The sequence below is a fragment of the Homo sapiens genome, chromosome 12 (genome assembly GCF_000001405.40).
Source record: "Homo sapiens chromosome 12, GRCh38.p14 Primary Assembly".
In the NCBI taxonomy this organism is placed as follows: Eukaryota; Metazoa; Chordata; class Mammalia; order Primates; family Hominidae; genus Homo; species Homo sapiens.
In genome coordinates this window covers 6,712,377-6,732,765 of record NC_000012.12, presented here as the reverse complement: position 1 = coordinate 6,732,765, position 20,389 = coordinate 6,712,377, and the positions used below count along the sequence as shown (strand labels likewise).

Genomic DNA, 20,389 nt, shown 5'->3' with positions numbered 1-20,389 from the left:
GTTCATTACCAACTCTTTCCCTTATAATTCTATGAGGTGGGAGGACATAGTCTGAACTCAAGCTCCTTGAGAGCAGAAACAGCGGCCATCATTTGTATGTCCAGTGCCTTTCAGTAAGTATCCACTACTTTTTTTTTTTTGAGACGGAGCTCATTCTGTCGCCCAGATTGGAGTGCAGTGGCACGATCTCGGCTCCCTGCAACCTCCGCCTCCCGGGTTCACACCATTCTCCTGCCTCAGTCTCCCAAGTAGCTGGGACTACAGGTGCTCGCCACCATGCCCGGCTATTTTTTTTGTATTTTTAGTAGAGATGGGGTTTCACTGTGTTAGCCAGGATGGTCTCAATCTCCTGACCTCATGATCCACCCGCCTTGACCTCCCAAAGTGCTGGGATTAGAGGCGTGAGCCACCGCGCCCGGCCTTTTTTTTTTTTTTGAGATGGAGTCTCACTCTGTCACTCAGGCTGGAGTGCATGATCTCGGCTCACTGCAACCTCCACCTTCCAGGTTCGAGCGATTCTCCTGCCTCAGCCTCCTTAGGGGATTATGGGCATGAGCCACCACACCCAGCTAATTTTTTTGCATTTTTAGTAGAGATGGGTTTCACCATGTTGGCCAGGTTGGTCTCACACTCCTGACCTCAAGTGATACGCCCGCCCTGGCCTCCCAACATGCTGGGATTACGGTCGTGAGCCACTGCACCCAGCCATATCCATTACTTCTGAATGGATGCTGAGCAACCTGTCCAAAGCCATACAGCTTGGGATCTAGGCCTCAGCCAGGGACTCAGCAAATAGTATCTGGGTCTCTTCATTTTCCAGCACTGTGCTTGAGTGAATTGGGAATGAGTCTTCTTCCCATCCACAAATATCAAACACAGAAGATACCCAGTTCAGGGTAGTTTGTAGATAGATTTCTCATAGATTTATTTCTGCGTCATATTATATATAGATATATGCATATATACCTTTTTTTTTTTAATACAATCTATATACCCTTCCCTTCCCCACCAAACTCACAAAAGGAGATTAAACCCTTCCAGGATTGCCATCAAGCTTCCCGAGATGGCCAGGGCCAAGAAAGAATCATCTCTCAACATGTTAAGAAACGGCTGCCATTCTTAGGCTCTGGGGTTGAAGCAGCAGCATTCCCAGGACCCAAGGGCCAGAGAGAGGAAAAGAAATGACTGTAGTGTGACAGGATTCTAGGATGAACATGTCCAGTGACTCCTGGCATGGCAGACTGGCTCCCAGAATTCTCAGGGTGTGAGTAAAGGTGGGGGCCCTATGGCTCTTCAGAGGCTGCTCAATAGGTCAGGGGTAGGGTATAGGAACTGGGGATCAGGCATGCAGGGATGGGGTGGCAGAAAAAACGCCTGTGGGTTATGCTCCAGACAGAGCGACCCCCATCAGGGCTACCCACCTACTCAATGACATGTAATGAACAGGGACAGATGCTGAGCTCTTAAGGAAACAAGGGAGAGAGCATGGCAGCGGGGAGCAATGGAACACATGAAGTCACAAAAAACAGAAAGTACCAACAAAAACATGACCTACATTTGCCTCCTCCCTAGAGAAGGTGTGATCTATGTTTGGGGTTAGGGGAGGTGAAGGGTCATGAACCTAGGATTATCAGCTGGCCAGGGGCACAGAAGGCTCTCTGAGGACTCCTAAGAGGCAGGCAGGCAGCTGGGACCCCACATCCCCAGGGAGGAAACGACAGTCCTTTCAATTCGACTTGGACCAAATCTTGGCGCTCCCTCGGAGCCTGGCAAGGAGAAGAGAGAGAAAGAGAGAGAGAGAGAGAATGCAGGGAATCCCCTAACCCCTGGAGGCTCCCCCACTCCCTACTCCCATGCAAATAACTGAAGGAAATGAGGACAGTGAGGTCCCTGGGGTAAAAGCAGGGCACCCTGCAAGTGAGCAGTTCCTGCTACCCTGGCTCACCCCTTGCCCTTTGAGGCTTTCTTGCTGGGCTGGCGCTGGTTGGTGCCAGGAGCTGGTTCCCTCAGCTCAGTCAGGTGTTGCTCAGGGTCCTGAGATGTGGCTGCGGCTGCTGCTGCCGTCGTAACTTTAATGGTTTTTTTAAGGTTGGCAACCTACCAGGATGAAAGGAATGGGGATAGCAAGGAAGGTTCCAGAACCTTCCAGCCCCTGCTCATCTGGTTGTCTGCTACAGCCACTGTCCAAATTCTCTCTGCAAAGGACAAGTCGCCCAGGCTGGAGGAGTTTGGGTCTGCCTGCTCCCCTGACTGCTCACCTCACTCTCAATCTGCTGCTTCAGGCCCAGCTGCTGCTCCTTGTGTTGGTTGGCACGGCTCACCTGCTCCTCAATGCCTGACAGCACGACCTCACAGCCCACACACCTGCAGGAGTCAGGGGAGAGAAGTGTCAGCAGACAAGGGCTGCGATCACAGACTCACAGAAAACTGACTCAAAAAGAACCCTAGAGGCAGGGCGCAGTAGCTCACCCCCATAATCCCTGCATTTTGGGAGGCCAAGATGGGCGAATTGCTTAAGCTCAGGAGTTCAAGACCAGCCTGAGCGATATGGCAAAAATCCGTCTCTACAAAAAATACAAAAACTAGCTGGATGTGGTGACACGAGCCTGTAGTCCCGTGCTACTCAAGAGACTGAGGTGGAGGGTGGCTTGAGCCCTGGAAGTTGGAGGCTGCAGTGAGTCAAGATGGTGCCACTGCACTCCAAACTGAGCAACAGAGCCAGAACACAGCTTCTGGCATTTTGAGTCTGAGTTGGGAACCCTCACCAGGGCACCTAGAAACCACCTGTGATAACACTCCTAGCAGTGGGATGGACACTCGGTGTGGTCAGAGAGGGATAAGGAAGCGCCTGGAGTGATGAGCAAGATGGGAGTAGGAACTGAAAACAAAATAGGGTAGGAGATGCCAAAGAGAAAAAGAGGTGACTTAATGAATACAGAAACCCTGAAGTTAGATGGGGACACAAAGAAAATAAAAAAGAGGAAAAGGGTCATGGCCTGTGGATAATGGTAGTTACAGATCAATCGACAGAGTCTAGCCTAAGACAGGCGACCGACCTTGCTGGTTAGGATCCCCTTAAGTATACCACTCCCTTTTCCTCCCCCAACTACTATATCAAGGACACTGACTTCTGCCGCCTCCCAGGGCCTCCCCTACTCCTGCATTCCCCAGAAGCCTTTGGAGGGATGAACTCATTTCCCTTCATCCTCTTGGGTTCCACCTCTGCGGACCAGCCCAGCTCCTGCCCTCTCTCACCCTGAAGCGCCTTTCTCTTTCTCAGGGTGAGAAGGGGACAGTGCCAGGATACGGTTCTCACCATTCCTGCAGGGTTCGGGCAATGGCACTGAGGTCCTGGCGCTGGATGTCCCGCCCGATGCTGTAGTCAACCTCGAGCCGCTGGTTGCGCTGGTCCAGGGAGCCACGAAGCACGTCAGCATACACAGCCTCAATCACAAGGTCTTCCAGCTGCCGCACATTACGCAGGGCAAGAGCCTCCAGCAACACTGCATATGGGATACACTGGGGCCGCGGAGATCAGGCCAGGATTTGTGACGCTCCGTAGTAGAGAAGGGCTTCCAAAAATCTTCCCTCCTTTTCCCCCTGCCCTAGCCCACCTGCCCTCCACTCCCATTCCTAAATCACTTCCTCTAAGAGGCTGGTTCTAAAGCAAAATAAATAAAAGTATTCCCACTTCAAAAACAGCATCATTAGAAGGACAATCTTAAATAAAATACAAAATGCTCCCCTAACACCCTCACCCCTGACACACCACAGAAGGAGAAAATGACATCTGCCTGGGTGTCACTCCTTTAGCCACAGCTCAGGGTATCACCCAGTCCTTAGTCAAGATCAGCTTGATACAGGGGAGTAAGCAGAAGTGGGAGAGGTGTGGAGTTACTGTTTATCATTTATACTCTGCCTACCTGCAACGGGCATTCCTTTGGAGGTATCTCTCAATAGAGAGCCTGGTTTAAATTAAATCCCAAGGACAACTGAGAGTCAAGTAACTATTGCGAGGTTGCAGACTGGGCAGGCTGGGGAGGTGGGTGGTGATATTAGACAAAAAACAGCCTAACAGGAATACAGAGATACTTCTAGAATATATATGTTTTATCCTAACAAAGAGAAGCCTAGCACTTCATCAGGAGAGCCCTGTTTCCAGCAGTGGGGAAGAAGGTATTGTTGAACGACACCTGAACAACATCCTAGTTGCTATTTTGACCAAAACCACAGAAGATGTTTATTTAGAACTTAAGTTGATTAAAAAATAAAAACAACACAGAAAACTAAGAATACTATCAGCCTAAACAGTTGCTAATGGAGTTTATATACAGACCTTGGAGGAGGGGAGGGCAGGAAGCAGCCACGGTCTAGACAAGGGCTGTCCTAGTGTGGACTCCCAAGGACATACAAAAGGATGCTCTAGACCGTAGGACTGGGGGACTGCCACTCACCTTTACTTTAGCAGCCAGGGTGACAACTGAGAGGTGTCGAAGCTTATTCTTCTGAGCCTCTGTTAGTGGAGGAAGATTCCGGGCTTCAGCTAGGGAAAAACGACAAAGTGTAAGGAATCCTGATTTCAGTTTTCTGGGAAGCCCTAGCCTCCTTCCCTTCCCTCCCACTTTCAATGCCAATTCAGGTCTTGACCCTGACCCTATGCATCCAGGGATCTAAGTGGGATATCCCAGGAATTTCTTCTGAGTCCCTCCAGAAATTGCCCTTCTCCCATCTCCATTACTCCAGAGCACCAACCCCTCTGGTTACCTAAGTAGTCAGCGTATGTCCCATAAGCAAACACTGTGAGCAGCCGGAAGGTAGAGGCAAAGTCACTCTCAGCCAGCTGCGAGAATGAGGAAAAAGGAGGTGACGGGAAGTCTTCCCTCTCCACCCTCCCAGCCTTACCCTGTTTGGAACTCCACTTTTTGGCCCCATCTTTCCCGGCCAATGTTAACTCTCCTGGCTCACCAAAAGGAGTTCTCTGCCTCTCTGATCACTCTTCACATAGGAAGGGCTCATTTCCACCTTCAGGCTTTTGTTTACACTATTCTCCCAAACCACAATGCCCTCTTGCTCCATACGTCATCCAATTCCTACCCTAAATTCAGAGTTGAAGACATTCAGTTTTCAGAGTCAAACAGACATACACACCAGACACTGCAAATTGTGTTGCCTGCCCTCAGAGTGTTTGATGTTTCTAAATTGGAATATGTCTAGACAGTCTCCAGTACTCCCCAATTCACCAGACTCCTGCCTCAGCCTCACTCATCTCTGACAGCTGCACAGCCTAGAAAGACATCTAAACTTATGGTCTCTGCTTCAGACACACCTGACCAGGACACTGTCTTGCATCACCCAGCCCAGTCCACCCAGATTTCCTCTCCTCCTATCATGGATCACTCATTCTGGCACTTTTTTTTTTTTTTTTTTTTGAGACAGAGTCTCCCTCTGTTACCCAGGCTGGAGTGCAGTGGCGCGATCTTGGCTCACTGCAACCTCCGCCTCCCAGGTTCAGGCAATTCTCCTGCCTCAGCCTCCCAAGCAGGTGGGATTACAGGCGTGCACCACCACACCAGGCTAATTTTTGTATTTTTAGTAGAAACAGGGTTTCGCCACATTGGCCAGGCTGGTCTCGAACTCCTGACCTCAGGTGATCCACCTGCCTTGGCCTCCCAAAGTGCTGGGATTATAGGCGTGAGCCACTGTGCTCAGCTTCATTCTGGCACTTAATCAATCAATCCTTGCAGAAGGTTGCTACCTAAGAATATCTTTCAACAAGATTATAGACCCAGTCTCAGGTATCCCACAGAGCTATGCAGTAATTGCCTCGCAAGAAATACTTGCTAAATAAATAAATAATTCAGATTTCTATCCATTCATCTTCTCTCTTCAACTGGAATGCAAGCTTCAGAAGGGTAAGCTCCATGCCTGGTGCTTTTCTTGTATTCCCAGACCATAAGAAGGGTAGTAAAGAGCCACTTAATAAGTGCTTCTTTTTCTTTTTCTTTGAGATGGTGTCTCACACTGTCACCCAGGCTGGAGTGCAGTGGCGCGACCTCGGCTCACTGCAACCTCCGCCTCCCTTTTTTTTTTTTTTAAATTATACTTTAAGTTCTGGGATACATGAGCTTTTGTTTGTTTTATTTATTTATTTATTTTTTTTTTTGAGACAGAGTCTCACTCTGTTGCCCAGGCTGGAATGCAGTGGTGCAATCTCGGCTCACTGCAACCTCCTGCCTCCCAGGTTCAAGTGATTCTCCTGCCTCAGCCTCCCGAGTAGCTGGGATTACAGGCGCCTGCCACCGCGCCCGGCTAATTTTTGTATTTTTAGCAGAGACGGGGTTTTGCCATCTTGGCCAGGCTGGTCTTGAACTCCTGACCTCATGATCCACCCACCTCGGCCTCCCAAAGTGCTGAGAACAGGCATGAGAGGCATGAGCCACCATGACTGGCCCTGTTTTTCGTTTTTGTCTTGTTTTTTGAGATGGAGTCTCGCTCTGTCGCCCAGACTGGAATGCAGTGGCTCGAACTCAACTCACTGCAACCTCAGCCTCACCCTTCCAAGCAGCTGGGACTACAGGCGCCCGCCACCACACCCGGCTAATTTTTTGTATTTTTAGTAGAGACGGGGTTTCACCATGTTAGCCAGGATGGTCTCCATCTCCTGACCTCATGATCCGCCCACCTCAGCCTCCCAAAGTGCTGGGATTACAGGCATGAGCCACCGTGCCCAGCCCTGTTTGTATTTTTAACAGAGACAGGATTCTGCCATATCGGTTTCACCTCCTGCCCTCAGGTGATCCACCTGCCTTGGCCTTCCAAAGTGCTGGGATTACAGGCATGAGCCACCGCACCCAGCCAAGTGCTTCTTTTTCATCACTTTGATTGATACTCTTTAGTTCCACTGCAGATGAAAGCAGGGAAAAGTCAGCCAGTTTTCTCCATATCACAGAGTGATCCAAAAGGTTAAACCACAGGCCCCAAATAACTTAGCTCAGTTTACCCACATACCACTGTCAGCATGTCAGGACTCAGGCTGCCTCCTCTGATTGTAAATTAACTCTGCCACTTTTGTGTGAACGGTTCTCTCTGCTGTGTTCCTAGCAGTTTGCCATGTGTCTCTGGGAAAAAGACACGTTCTCCCTTAGCTAACTTGAATAGATTAGCATATGCTGCACATAGGGAAGAAAAGGGCATGCTAATTTAACATGTTCACTCTCCACTTGTACCAGACTTCACACTTTCCCATAATCTCACTTTATTCCCACAACAGAGAGGGGCAGTATTGTCTCCATTTTTAAAAGAGAAAGTTGGCTAGGTGCGGTGGCTCAAGCCTGTAATCCCAGCACCTTGGGAGGTCAAGGCGGGCGGATCACGAGGTCAGGAGATCGAGATCATCCTGGCTAACACAGTGAAATCCCATCTCTACTAAAAATACAAAAAAGTTAGCCGGGCATGGTGGCGGGCGCCTGTAGTCCCAGCTACTGAGGAGGCTGAGGCAGGAGAATGGCGTGAACCCAGGAGGCAGAGCTTGCACTCAGCTGAGATCACGCCACTGCACTCCAGCCTGGGTGACAGAGCAAGACTCCGTCTCAAAAAAAAAAAAAAAAAGAGAAAGCTGAAGCCCTAAAACAAAAGTGACCTGATCAAGGTGACATGAGAATTAACAGCTACTACACTGGTGGAGACCGGCTGGAAATCAGGTTTCCTATTCTGAATAGGATGCTCTTTTGCTTAAAATGAAAAATAGTGGGCTTTACAGATCCCTTATCTCCAAAGGAGAGCTGGTTTGCTTGTTCACTGGTTACTTCTGCAAGTTGGCATTTAATTATCACTGTTTTCTTGTTCAACTGAATGGTTATTGGATCACAAAATGAGCCCTGCCCACCCATTCTCAAATTCAAACCTTTGCCCACGCTTCTCTGAGGGCTATTCAAGCCAGCAACCCACCTCTCTAACATTGGGCATGTCCAGCAGTTCTCCAAACACGTAGACACCAGGGGCCTCCAGCACCTGATGGATGAGTGTGGCCAGCGCTGCCCCCTTGGCCGACTTGGCTAGGAGCAGAAATTGCTCCTGGTTCTGCCCTGTCACCTTCACTTCCGCACTCATCACTGCACTGAGTGTGGGGGACTTGGGCTCAGGATGTCCAGAGCTGCAAGGAAAGAGGATGTGAAGCTAGAGGTCCCCGATGGCTGGTCGGATGGGAAGCACAAGGCTGAGGGACTGGATTGTAAAGGCACTAAGTCGGTTCTGCGGTGAGGAATCAGACATGGAGCGGTCTAAAATTCTGATCTAGGAATCCTAAAGTCAGCCACTTCGCAAGGCTGCCACACCCACCCCCTCCCCTGGGCCTAACCCCAAGCCCCATCACGTGCACCCCATTGAACCCCAAGACACAGGATGCAAAGGAGAAATGGGTGTCGCATGGTGTCCACCCTGACGACGCTCCCTCAGCTCTCCATTGCTGCCCCGCACGCGCCCACAACCACGTGACCTCACCCCCATTGAAGCTTACACGTGGCTCCGCCCCCTCCCTTAAAGACACCGCCCAGCGACCGTGGGCTCCCGCCGACTGCTTCGTCGTACCCTGGGTCAGGCTCTGCGGGCCGCTACCTGGAAGCTTCGACCTCCAGCGCACCGGGCGGGGCCGCCGCTCCGTCACCTCCGGCAGCTGTTCCAAGCCTTTCCTGCCACCTCCCTGAAGAGTCGCTCTGGCCACTAAACTCTATGGCGGGCTTCCGGCCGTACTTCCGCTCTAAGGACGCAAATTTCGGCAGGACATGCCCCACCCCCGCGTTCCGACCGCTGAAGCTCCAGTGAGGGACGCAGGCATTCTACTCTTCGATTGGTCGCTGGGGGAAGAATGACGGGCGCCTTTTTAAATGCTTTATTTCAATAAAACTTTATTAGTGGAAGAGCGCCAGCTATTAACTACAGACGTCTCTGGTGGGTCCCTGGTCCCGGCCCATTCTGTGTCTGTTCTAAGCCGCTGGAGAGCTGGAGATCAGGACTGCACTGGGTACCTGAGGCAAGAGAAAAGCTGTAACGGAAGGAGTGAAGAAGAGGGAAAAAAACGGGATGAGGAAACAAGGGGCAGAGAGGAAGCAAACAAAAATCAATAATAGAAGTTTAGCAGCAGAGATCACCTAGGTGGTTCAACCACTCACTTTTTTGAAGAGCAGGAGAAAAGAAGCGAGAAAAATAAAAGAGAGAATAAAGCTAACATGTATTGAGTGCTTACTATTGGTCAGACATCTTTTAAAATTTTATTCCGTTGAATCCTCACAAATATTCCCCTGTGACTTCAGGACACCCTCTACCATGATTACTACATATGTATTAATACTTGTAGAATGATGCTTTCAGTACATGGACTCTTAATTTCTTGGGGAGGAAAAAACCCTATGTGGTTCTCATTTTACAGAAAAGGAAATTGAGGCTCATAAAAATCCAAGGATTTATCTGGAGCTTTTCAAACTCAAAACCATCTTTCTACTTCAATATGATACTTTAATAAAAACAAAAACAACTAACATTTCTATAGTGTTTTATATTTCACAACAGGCTTGCAGAAGGTCAAGTGAGGGTAAAGTTAATGACATCTTGGCCTTTGTGTTAAGCCATGAGCATTACTTAATTCATCTGATACAACGATCTAGTAATTGTTATCTCCACTTTCCAGATGGAAAAACTGAACTCAGGAAAATTAAGAAACTTGTAAGTAATGGAAAGACAAGAAAGTGAAAAAGAGAAAGATAAAGAGAAATAGGACTCGTAGTCTGTTAGGGCTAAAGGAACTGCAGATGCAGTTTATGGTCCGCATATTTTGGTTTGTGATAGAAAATAAGCAGAAACACAGAAAGGAAAGAGAAAGGAGGAAGAGGAGAAGAAGAAATGAATGGAAAAGGTGAAACAAAAGTGAGTAGAAGGAATCAAAGGCATAATAAAATATTCAGAGTTTGAAGGAAGCAAGGAATTAATGAGTCCAAACATTATTATTATTATTTTGCATCCACCCCTCCCCGCCCCAAGCTTATCTTTTTTTTTTTTTTTTAATTTGAGACGGAGTCTCGCTCTGTCGCCCAGGCTGGAGTGCAGTGGCGCGATCTCGGCTCACTGCAAGCTTCGCCTCCCGGGTTCACGCCATTCTCTGGCCTCAGCCTCCCGAATAGCTGGGACTACAGGCGCCCGCCACTACGCCCGGCTAATTTTTGTATTTTTAGTAGAGACGGGGTTTCACCGTGTTAGCCAGGATGGTCTCGATCTCCTGACCTCGTGATCCGCCCGCCTCAGACTCCCAAAGTGCTGGGATTACAGGCGTAAACCACTGCGCCCGGCCAAGCTTATCATTTTTAGAGAGAAGGGAAAAACATGTAAGATGAAGGGATGAGAAAATAACCCGTATTTGTTCTATTTTGCGCCAAGTGCTTTATTTGTTCATTTTTTACTTTTTTTTTTTTTTTTTTTTTTTTTTTTTTAGAGGCATGGTTTCACTCTGTTGCCCAGGGTGGCGTGCAGTGATGCGATCACAGCTCACTGCAGCCTCGATTGTTCAAATTTTTATCTTATTTATTTTTTTTTGAGACAGTCTTGCTCTATGGCCCAGGCTGGAGTGCAGCGGCACAATCTCGGCTCATTGCAACCTCCACCTCCCAGGTTCAAGCGGTTCTCCTGCCTCAGCCTCCCAAGTAGCTGGGATTACAGGGACGCGCCACCATGCCCGGCTAATTTTTGTATTTTTAGTAGAGCTGTGGTTTCACCATGCTAGCCAGGATGGTCTCGATCTCCTGATCTCGTGATCCACCGGCCTCTGTCTCCCAAAGTGCTGGGATTACAGGCGCGAGCCGCCGCACCCGGCCGATTGTTCAAATTTTTATTCGATCTTTGCAACCCTATGAGGTGCATATTAGTGTCTCAATTCACCTGTGAGGACACTTAGGAATACAGAAGTTAAATAGTTTGTTGAAGGTTACCGGTCTGTGATGAAACTGAGATCTAAATGCAAGTTTGTCTGATTCCAACACTGTATTGAGAAAGATAAGCGAGCTGGGCGTGGTGGCTCAGGACTGTAATCCCAGCACTTTGGGAGGCTAAGGTAGGCGGATCGCTTGAGGCCAGGAGTTCGAGACCAGACTGGCCGACATGGTGAAACCTCATCTCTACTAAAAAAATAATAATTAGCAGAGCGTGGTGGCAGACCCCTGTAATCCGAGCTACTCAGGAGGCTAAGGCAGGAGAATTGCTTGAACCCTGAGGAAGGAGAAGGGGACAGAGGTTGCAGTGAGCCAAGATCCTGTCTCTGCACTTCCGCCTGGGCAACGGAGCAAGACTCCGTCTCAAAAAAAAAAAAAAAAAAAGAAAGAAAGAAAGAAATGAGCCAGACAGAGTGGCTCATGCTTGTAATCCCAGCACTTTGGGAGGTCAAGGCAGGTGGCTCACTTGAGGTCTTGAGATCAGGAGTTTGAGACCAGCCTGGCCAACATGATAAAATCTCATCTCTACCAAAAATACAAAAATTAGCCGGGTGTGGTGGCGCATGCCTGTAATCCCAGCTCCTCGGAAGGCTGAAACAGGAGTATCTCTTGAATCCAGGAGGCAGAGGTTGCAGTGAGCCAAGATTGTGCCATTGCACTCCAGCCTGGGTGACAGAGCAAGATTCTGTCTCAAAAATAAATAAATAAATAACATTTAAAAAAAGAAAGAGAAGCAGGAAAAAAGCAGAAAGGAAAGAGCGACAGAGAAGAGAGCACAAAGAAAGAGATAACCTGAGATTTACTCCTGATTTGGTCTTAAACCAGCTGTGACCTTAAAGCAAATCAAGCCATTTTGTGGTATCTCCTCTTCCATATCCGCCAAGAGAGATTAGATGTTAAGGCCAATTTGGGTTCTGATGTCTTATGGTTCTATAGGAGAAAAAGGAGTGAGAGGAGAATATGAGAGAACAATGAGTAAGGAGATAAAAGAGAGTTTGGAGAAAGACAGGAGAGGAAATGGACTAAAGAAGTAGGATTAGAGAGAGAAGAGGAGGAGCAGGAGGAAATGTGAGAAAGATAAGAAAAAGGAGTAGAAATGGGAAAAGAAGAGGAGAAAGTGGGAAGAAAAATAAAGGTGTCCCAAGAAGAGGATGGGAACTAAGTAAATATAAGCAAAGTCCTGGAGGTAACATTCATTCATTCGTTACTAAGTGGCAGTTATATACAAGGGTATGTGCCAGGTGCTGTTTTTCATGCTAATTATAGAAAAGATGCACTGAAATAAAGCTAGAAAAGCTGACTGACATCCAAAGAGTCAAACATGTAAGAAAATATTTATCATTGAGTCAAAAGATATTATTGTTCTAGCTCCTGGAGAGGTAGACAAAATCCCTGCCTTCTTGCTACTTGTATTCTTGTGGTAGAATTCAGGCCTTAAATAATTACAAGGTGATAAATATGAAGAAAAACAAAAACAAGGTAAGGGGGATGGGGAATGCAGGAGACATTTGTTATTTAAGGTCCTTAGGAGGGCCTCCCTGACAAGGTGATAAGGAGCCAGTTGGATGGATTTGTATGGGAATTTCACAAGCAGAGCAAACTACCAGTGCAAAGGCCCCGTGATGGGGACATACTAGATGTGTCTGAAGAGCACCAAGGAGGCCTTGTGGCTGGACCTGATTGAGAAAGGGGAGAGGAGGCAAGGTAGAGCGAGAGCAGGGTGTCCAGATCATGTCTTATGGGCGACTGTAGGGACTTTGGCTCTTGCTTAGAGTGAGATGGACGGCCAGTGGAGGATTTGAGCAGAGGAGTGACACCATCTGACCCACACGTTTAACATATTAAAATGGCTACACGGGCAGAACCAATTAGACCAATTAGAAGGCCACAGCAATGATGCAGGCAAGAGACGGTGATAACTTAGACCATGATATCAGTGGCGGATGCAGAGAGAAATAGCTGGATTATGTATGTATGTATGTATGTACGTATATTTATTTATTTTTGAGATGGAGTCTCGTTCTGTCTCCCAAGCTGGAGCGCAGTGGTGCCATCTCAGCTCACTGCAACCTCTGCTTCACGGGTTCAAGTGATTCTCCTGCCTCAGCCTCCCAAATAGCTGAGACTACAGGTGTGTGCCACCACATCTGGCTAATTTTCGTATTTTTAGTAGAGACGGGGTTTCACTATGTTGCCCAGGCTGTTCTCAAACTCTTGACCTCAGGTGATCCACCTGCCTCAGCCTCCCAAAGTGCTGGATTACAGGCATGAGCCACAGTACCTGACCTGGTTTCTGTACTTAACTTAAAGTGAACAGAATTTGCAAATTGATTAGATGTGAGGTATGAGAAGAAAAGAAAGTCAAGAATGACATCATAAGACAGGCACAGTGGCTCACGCAAATAATCCCAGCACTTTGGGAGGCCGAGGAGGGTGGCTCTTTTGAACTCAGGAGTTGAAGACCAGCCTGGGCAACATAGCAAGATCCTGTCTCTATTTTAAAATAAGGGGAAATTTTTTGTTTTTTGCTTTTTTTTTTTTTTTTTTTTTTTGAGACAGTCGTGCTCTGTCGCCCAGGCTGGAGTGCAGTGGCATCCTCTAGGCTCGCTGCAACCTCCGCCTCCTGGGTTCAAGTGATTCTGCTGCTTCAGCCTCCCGAGTAGCTCAGACTACAGGCGTCCGCCACCATGCCTGGCTAACTTTTTGTATTTATTTTTTTGAGACGGAGTCTCGCTCTGTCGCCCAGGCTGGAGTGCAGTGGCGCGATCTTGGCTCACTGCAAGCTCCGTCTCCTGGGTTCACACCATTCTTCTGCCTCAGCCTCCAGAGTAGCTGAGACTACAGTTGCCCGCCACCATGCCTGGCTAATTTTTTTTGTATTTTTAGTAGAGACGTGGTTTTACCATATTGGCCAGGCTGGTCTCGAACTCCTGACCCTGTGATCCACCCACCTCGGCCTCCCAAAGTGCTGGGATTACAGGCGTGAGCCACCAAGCCTGGCTGGAAATTTTTTTTTTTTTTTTTTTTTGAGACGGAGTCTCACTCTGTTGCCCGGGCTGGAGTGCAGTGGCACGATCTCGGCTCACTGCAACCTCCGCCTCCCAGGTTGAAGCAATCCTCCTGCCTCAGCCCCCCCAGTAGCTGGGATTACAGGCACCCACCATCACCCCCAGCTAATTTTTGTATTTTTAGTAGAGACGGGGTTTTGCTGTGTTGGTCAGGCTAGTCTCAAACTCCTGACCTCAGGTGATCCACCCACCTCGGCCTCCCAAAGTGCTGGGATTATAGGTGTGAGCCACCATGCCTGGCCAGAAATTTTTTTTTTTTTTTTTGAGATGGAGTTTCACCCTTATTGGCCAGGCTGGAGTAAAAGGGCACGATCTCGGCTCACTGCAACCTCTGCCTCCCAGGTTCAAGTGAGTCTCCTGCCTCAGCCTCCCTAGCTGGGATTACAGGCATGTACCACCATGCCTGGCTAATTTTGTATTTTTAGTAGAGACAGGGTTTCAACATGTTGGTCAGGCTGGTCTGGAACTCCTGACAGGTGATCCACCTGCCTCTGCCTTCCAAAGTGCTGGGATTAGAGGCGTGAACCACTGAGGCCTGCCAAAACATTTTTTATTTTAAAAAAATGACATCATCAAGGCAAGTAGCACCAAACTTTCAAAGTACAGATCATATTAATTTTATACACACTATTGCAGAAAATAGGAAGAGAGAGCACCCCTTAACTTATTCTATGGGGCCAGAATCACCTTGATAACAAAATCAGCAAAGGGCAATAATGTAAAGGGAAATTTTAGTCCCATCTAATCAGGAGGCTGAGGTGGGAGGACCACTCAAGCTAGCAATTCAAGATCAGCCTGGGCAACACAGCAAGACCCTGTCTCAAAAAAAAAAAAAAAAAAAAAAAAAAAGGAAAGAAAAAGAATGAAAGGAAAATTGCCCAGCACAGTGGCTCACACTTGTAATCCCAGCACTTTGGGAGGCCAAGGCAGGGGGATCACCCATCAGGAGTTCGAGACCAGCCTGACCAGCATGTTGAAACTCCATCTCTACTAAAAATATAAAATTAGCCAGGCATGGTGGTGCATGATCACTCCTGATCACGAGGTCAAGAGTTTGAGACCAGCCTAACCAATATTATGAAACCCCCCTATCTCCACTAAAAACGTAAAAATGGCTGGGCGTGGTGGCTCACACCTATAATCCCAACACTTTGGGAGGCCAAGACGGGTGGATCACCTGAGGTCAGGGGTTCCAGACCAGGCTGGCCAACATGGCAAAACCCTGTCTCTACTAAAAATACAAAAACTTAGCCTGGCATGGTGGCACACACCTGTAATCCAGCTACTTGGGAGACTGAGGAAGAATTCCTTGAACCCAGAAAGACAAGGCTGCAGTGAACTGAGATCACACCATTGCAATCCAGCCTAGGCAACAAGAGCAAAACTCCGTCTCAAAGAAAAAAAAAAAAATTAGCCAGGTGTGGTGGTGTGTCCAGAATTGGTGGGTTCTTGGTCTCACTGACTTCAAGAGTAAAGTAGCAGACCCTCGTGGTGAGTGTTATAGCTCTTAAGGTGGTGTCTCTGGAGTCTGTCCCTTCTGATGTTCAGATGCCTTTGGAGTTTTTTCCTTCTGGTGGGTTCATGGTCTCGCTGGCTCAGGAACGAAGCTGCAGATCTTCCCGGAGAGTATTCCAGCTCATAAAAGCACCATGGACTCAAAAAGTGAGCAATAGCAAGATTTATCGCAAAAAGTAAAAAAACAAAGATTCCCCACCGTGTAAGGAGACTAGAGCAGGTTACTAATGCTGGCTGGGGCAGCCTGCTTTTATTCTCTTATCTGGCCCCACCCACATCCTGCTGATTGGTAGAGCCGAGTGGCCTGTTTTGTCAGGGCGCTGATTGGTGCGTTTACAATCCCTGAGCTAGATACAAAGGTTCTCCACGTCCCCATCAGATTAGTTAGATACAGAGTTTCCACACACAGGTTCTCCAAGGCCCCACCAGAGCAGCTAGATACAGAGTGTTGATTGGTGCATTCACAAACCTTGAGTTAAACACAGGGTGCTGATTGGTGTGTTTACAAACCTTGAGCTAGATAGAGTGCCGATTGGTGTATTTACAATCCCTGAGCTAGACATAAAAGTTCTTCACGTCCTCACCAGAGCAGCTAGATACAGAGTGTCGATTGGTGCATTCACAAACCTTGAGCTAAACACAGGGTGCTGATTGGTGTATTTACAATCCCTGAGCTAGATATAAAGACTCTCCACGTCCCCACCAGACTCAGGAGCCCAGCTGGCTTCACCTAGTGGATCCCGCACCGAGACTGCAGGTGGAGCTGCCTGCCAGTCCCGCGCTGTGCGCTCGCATTCCTCAGCCCTTGGGTGGTCGATGGGACTGGGCGCCGTGGACAGGGGGCGGCGCTCGTCGGGGAGGCTCGGGCTGCACAGGAGCCCATGGAGGGGGTGGGAGGCTCAGGCATGGCGGGCTGCAGGTCCCGAGCCCTGCCCCGCGGGAAGGCAGCTAAGGCCCGGCGAGAAATCGAGCGCAGCGCCGGTGGGCTAGCACTGCTGGGGGACTCAGTACACCCTCCGCAGCCACTGGCCCGGGTGCTAAGTCCCCCATTGCCCGGGGCTGGCAGGGCTGGCCGGCTCCTCCGAGTGCAGGGCGCACCAAGCCCACACCCACCCGGAACTCCAGCTGGCCCGCAAGCGCCCCACGCAGCCCCGGTTCCCGCTCATGCCTCTCCCTCCACACCTCCCTGCAAGCTGAGGGAGTGGGCTCCAGCCTTGGCCAGCCCAGAAAGGGGCTCCCACAGTGCAGTGGGGGGGCTGAAGGGCTCCTCAAATGCCACCAAAGTGGGAGCCCAGGCAGGGGAGGTGCCGAGATCAAGCGAAGGCTCTGAGGACTGCCAGCACGCTGTCCCCTCTCAGTGGCGGGTGCCTGTAATCCTAGCTACTGGAGAGGCTGAGGCAGGAGAATCACTTGAACCTGGGAGGCCGAGGTTGCAGTGAGCCGAGATCGTGCCACTACAATCCAGCTTAGGCAAAAAGAGCGAGACTCCATCTCAAAAAACAAACAAACGGCCGGGCGCGGTGGCTCACGCCTGTAATCCCAGCACTTTGGGAGGCCGAGGTGAGTGGATCACAAGGTCAGGAGATCAAGACCACCCTGGCTAACACGGTGAAACCCCGGCTCTACTAGAAATACAAAAAATTAGCCGGGCGTGGTGGTGGGTGCCTGTAGTCCCAGCTACTTGGGAGGCTGTGGCAGGAGCGTGGCATGAACCCGGGAGGCAGAGCTTGCAGTCAGCTGAGATCATGCCACTGCACTCCAGCCTGGGCGTGAGACTCCGTCTCCAAAAAAAAAAAAAAACCAAAAAAAATAAAACAAAAAAACAGGAACAGACGGGGCGCTGTGGCTCCTGCCTGTAATCCCAGCACTGGGAGGACGAGGTGGGCGGATCACTTGAGGTCAGGAGTTCAAGACCAGCCTGGCCAACAGTGAAACCCTGTCTCTAAAAAAAATACAAATAAATTAGCTTGAACCTGGGAGGCGGAGATTGCAGTGAGCCAAGACGGCGCCACTGCACTCCACCCTGGGCGACAGAGTAAGACCCTGTTTCAAACATAAACAAAAAAAGAACACAAAAATTTTCTGACTAGGAGGAGGATAGAGAGTGTTGTGGGTATTTTTGGTGGTGTTGTTTTTGTTTTTTGAGACAGGGTCTCACTCTATCGTCTAGGCTGAAGTGTGGAGGCACGATCTCGGCTCACTGCAGCCTCAACCTGCCAGGCTCAGGTGATCCTCTCACCTCCGGTCAGCCTCCCGAGTAGCTGGGACTACAGGTGTATGCCACCACTTCCAGCTGTTTTTTGTATTTTTTGTAGAGTTGAAGTCTCCCAATTTTGCCTAGGCTGGTCTCAAACTCCTGACCTCATGCAATCCTCCTGCCTTTGTGGCTGACTGCAACAAATACTACTTGAGACCATCATTACAACAGTTACTACTGTTACTACTTGAGACTGTCATTACGAGACTGAATGAAGGGACAAACAGAAATGAAAACTTAAGACAAAAGAAACTGTTTTAAAGGAAGGGTCCAGGGGAAGAAGAAGAGAGCTCCCTGCTTCTGTGAGCAAAGGCGGCCCCTCATTCTTTCCACCTGTAACATGCCTTGGCCTCCCAAAGTGCTGGGATTACAGGCGTGAGCCACTGCAACCAACCTGAGAATGATTTTTATTTTTATTTATTTTTATTTTTTTGAGACGGAGTCTCACTCAGTCGCCCAGACTGGAGTGCAGTGGCGTGTTCGTGGCTCACTGCAAGCGCCACCTCCTGGATTCATGCCATTCTCCTGTCTCAGCCTCCCAAGTAGCTGGGACTACAGGCTCCCGCCACCATACCCGGCTAATTTTTTGTATGTTTAGTGGAGACGGGGTTTCACCGTGTTAGGCTGGTCTCGAGCTCTTGACATCAAGTGATCCGCCCGCCTCCGCCTCCCAATGTGCTGGGATTACAGGCGTGAGCCACCACGCCCAGCCGAGAATGATTTTTAAATTCAAGATACAGGTCGGGTGCAGTGGCTCACGCCTGTATTCCTAGCACTTTGGGAGGCCGAGGCAGGCGGATCACTTGAGGTCAGGAGTTCCAGACCAGCCTGGCCAACATGGCAAAACTCTGTCTCTACTAAAAATGCAAAAAAGTTAGCTGGGCATGGTGGCGTGTGACTGTAATCCCAGCTACTCAGGAGGCTGAGACAGAAGAATCGCTTGAACCCGGGAGGCAGAGGTTGCAGTGAGCTGAGATTGCACCGCTGCACTCCAGCCTGAGCGACAGAGACGAGACTTCTTCTCAAAAAATAAATAAATTAATTAATTAAATTAAATAAATAAATTCAACATACAAAAAGCATAACCACAAAATAAGAGGTTGATAAATATACTCCTACGAAAATTAAGAACCTCTGATAATTAAAATATATAAAGGAAAAAGTGAAAAGAGGTTCACAAATGCCTTAAAAAAGGAACAGATATTCGCAACATATATAACTGGCAAAATATTAGTATCCAGCATATATAACAAACTACAAATCTGGCTGGGCGCAGTGGCTCACACCTGTAATCCCAGAACTTTGGGAGGCCGAGGTGGGCGGATCACTTGATGTCAAGAGCTCGAGACCAGCCTGGCTAACTTGGCGAAACCTCGTCTCTACTGAAAATACAAAATTAGCCAGGCATGGTGGTGCATGCCTATAGTCCCAGCTATTCAGGAGGCTGAGCCAGGAGAATCACCTGAACCCAGGAGGTGAAGGTTGCAGTGAGCCGAGATCATGCCATTGCACTCCAGCCTGGGCAACAGAGCAAGACTCCGTCCCCCTCAAAAAAAAACAAACTTCAAATTGGCCAGGCATGGTGGTCCACGCCTATAATCCCAGCACTTTGGGAGGCTGAGGCAGGAGATCCCCTGAGGTCAGGAGTTCGAGACCAGCCTGGCCAACATGGTGAAAACCCATCTCTACTAAAAACACAAAAATTAGCCAGGCATGGTGGTGGGCGCCTGTAATCCCAGCTACTCAGGAGGCTGAGGCAGGAGAATCACTTGAACCCGGGAGATGGAGGTTGCAGTGAGCCGAGATTGTGCCACTGCACTCCAGCCTGGGCGACAGAGCAAGACTCTGTCTCAAAAAAAAAAACAAAAAACAAAACAAAAAAAACCACTACAAATCAATAAGAAAAACACAAGCAACTCAAATGATCAGGCATTTCCTAGAAGAGGAAATTAAAAAGGCTAATAAGCATATAAAAAGATGCTCAACTGCATTAGTAATTAGAGAAATGCCAAAAAAATCCACACGGAAATACTATTGTATACCACTAGATTGGCAAAAATTAAGAAGTCTAAAAATACTAGCATTAGAGAGAATGTAGATCAATCAGTATTCAAATATTGATGAAAACTGGCCAGGCACAGTGGCTCACGCTTGTAATCCGAATACTTTGGGAGGCCGAGGCGGGCAGATCACCTGAGCTCAGGAGTTTGAGACCAGCCTGGCCAACATGGGGAAACCCTGTCTCTACTAAAAATACAAAAATTAGCCAGGCGTGGTGGCGTGCGCCTGTAATCCCAGCTACTCAGGAGGCTGAGGCAGGAGAATCGCTTGAACCAGGGAGGCAGAGATTTGGGTGAACTAAGATTGTGCCACTGCACTCCAGCCTAGGTGACAGAGCAAGACTCCACCTCAAAAATAAATAAATAAATAAATAAATAAAACTTTAAAAAGTTGGTGAAAATTGAAAACAATTTGGCATTCTTTCTCAAAGCTTTCTTTTTTTTCTTTTTTCTTTTTTTTTAGACAGAGTCTTGCTCTGTCACCCAGGGTGGAGTGCAGTGTTGCAATCTCGGCTC

At 48.7% G+C, this 20,389-nt stretch overlaps 1 protein-coding gene across 5 annotated transcripts, besides 3 other annotated features; it reads right to left on the bottom strand.

The window, feature by feature from the left end:
* Window positions 901-8,720, bottom strand: COPS7A (COP9 signalosome subunit 7A). Of its 5 annotated transcripts, none has more exons than NM_001164095.3 (8): window positions 8,516-8,720; window positions 7,948-8,152; window positions 4,765-4,840; window positions 4,455-4,543; window positions 3,317-3,519; window positions 2,259-2,364; window positions 1,946-2,097; window positions 901-1,766 (listed from the first exon to the last, which is right to left on the bottom strand). In NM_001164095.3, the coding sequence occupies exons 2-8, from the start codon at window positions 8,107-8,109 to the stop codon at window positions 1,727-1,729; spliced, it is 828 nt and encodes a 275-aa protein (NP_001157567.1). In that variant the 5' UTR covers window positions 8,110-8,152; window positions 8,516-8,720; the 3' UTR covers window positions 901-1,726. The 5 variants fall into 5 exon arrangements, with proteins under 5 accessions (NP_001157567.1, NP_001157566.1, NP_057403.1 ...); NM_001164094.2 differs by having other exon boundaries at window positions 8,587-8,720; NM_016319.4 differs by having other exon boundaries at window positions 8,614-8,720.
* Window positions 8,066-8,285: an enhancer, noted in NCBI's record as "active region_5878". NCBI's record gives its function as "activates an Ori minimal core promoter by ATAC-STARR-seq in GM12878 lymphoblastoid cells {active_cell/tissue: GM12878}" and the evidence as "EXISTENCE:reporter gene assay evidence [ECO:0000049][PMID:35858748]".
* Window positions 8,416-8,555: an enhancer, noted in NCBI's record as "active region_5877". NCBI's record gives its function as "activates an Ori minimal core promoter by ATAC-STARR-seq in GM12878 lymphoblastoid cells {active_cell/tissue: GM12878}" and the evidence as "EXISTENCE:reporter gene assay evidence [ECO:0000049][PMID:35858748]".
* Window positions 8,586-8,795: an enhancer, noted in NCBI's record as "active region_5876". NCBI's record gives its function as "activates an Ori minimal core promoter by ATAC-STARR-seq in GM12878 lymphoblastoid cells {active_cell/tissue: GM12878}" and the evidence as "EXISTENCE:reporter gene assay evidence [ECO:0000049][PMID:35858748]".

Bases quoted from the DNA above. Each gene is read 5' to 3' on its own strand.
- COPS7A (NM_001164095.3), bottom strand. From the start codon at position 8,109: ATGAGTGCGGAAGTGAAGGTGACAGGGCAGAACCAGGAGCAATTTCTG. The intron at 4,544-4,764 runs GTAACCAGAGGG...GTTTTTCCCTAG, and splicing joins GACATACGCTGACTACTTAG to CTGAAGCCCGGAATCTTCCT. The intron at 3,520-4,454 runs GTGAGTGGCAGT...CCGCGGCCCCAG, and splicing joins CCCTGGCTGCTAAAGTAAAG to TGTATCCCATATGCAGTGTT.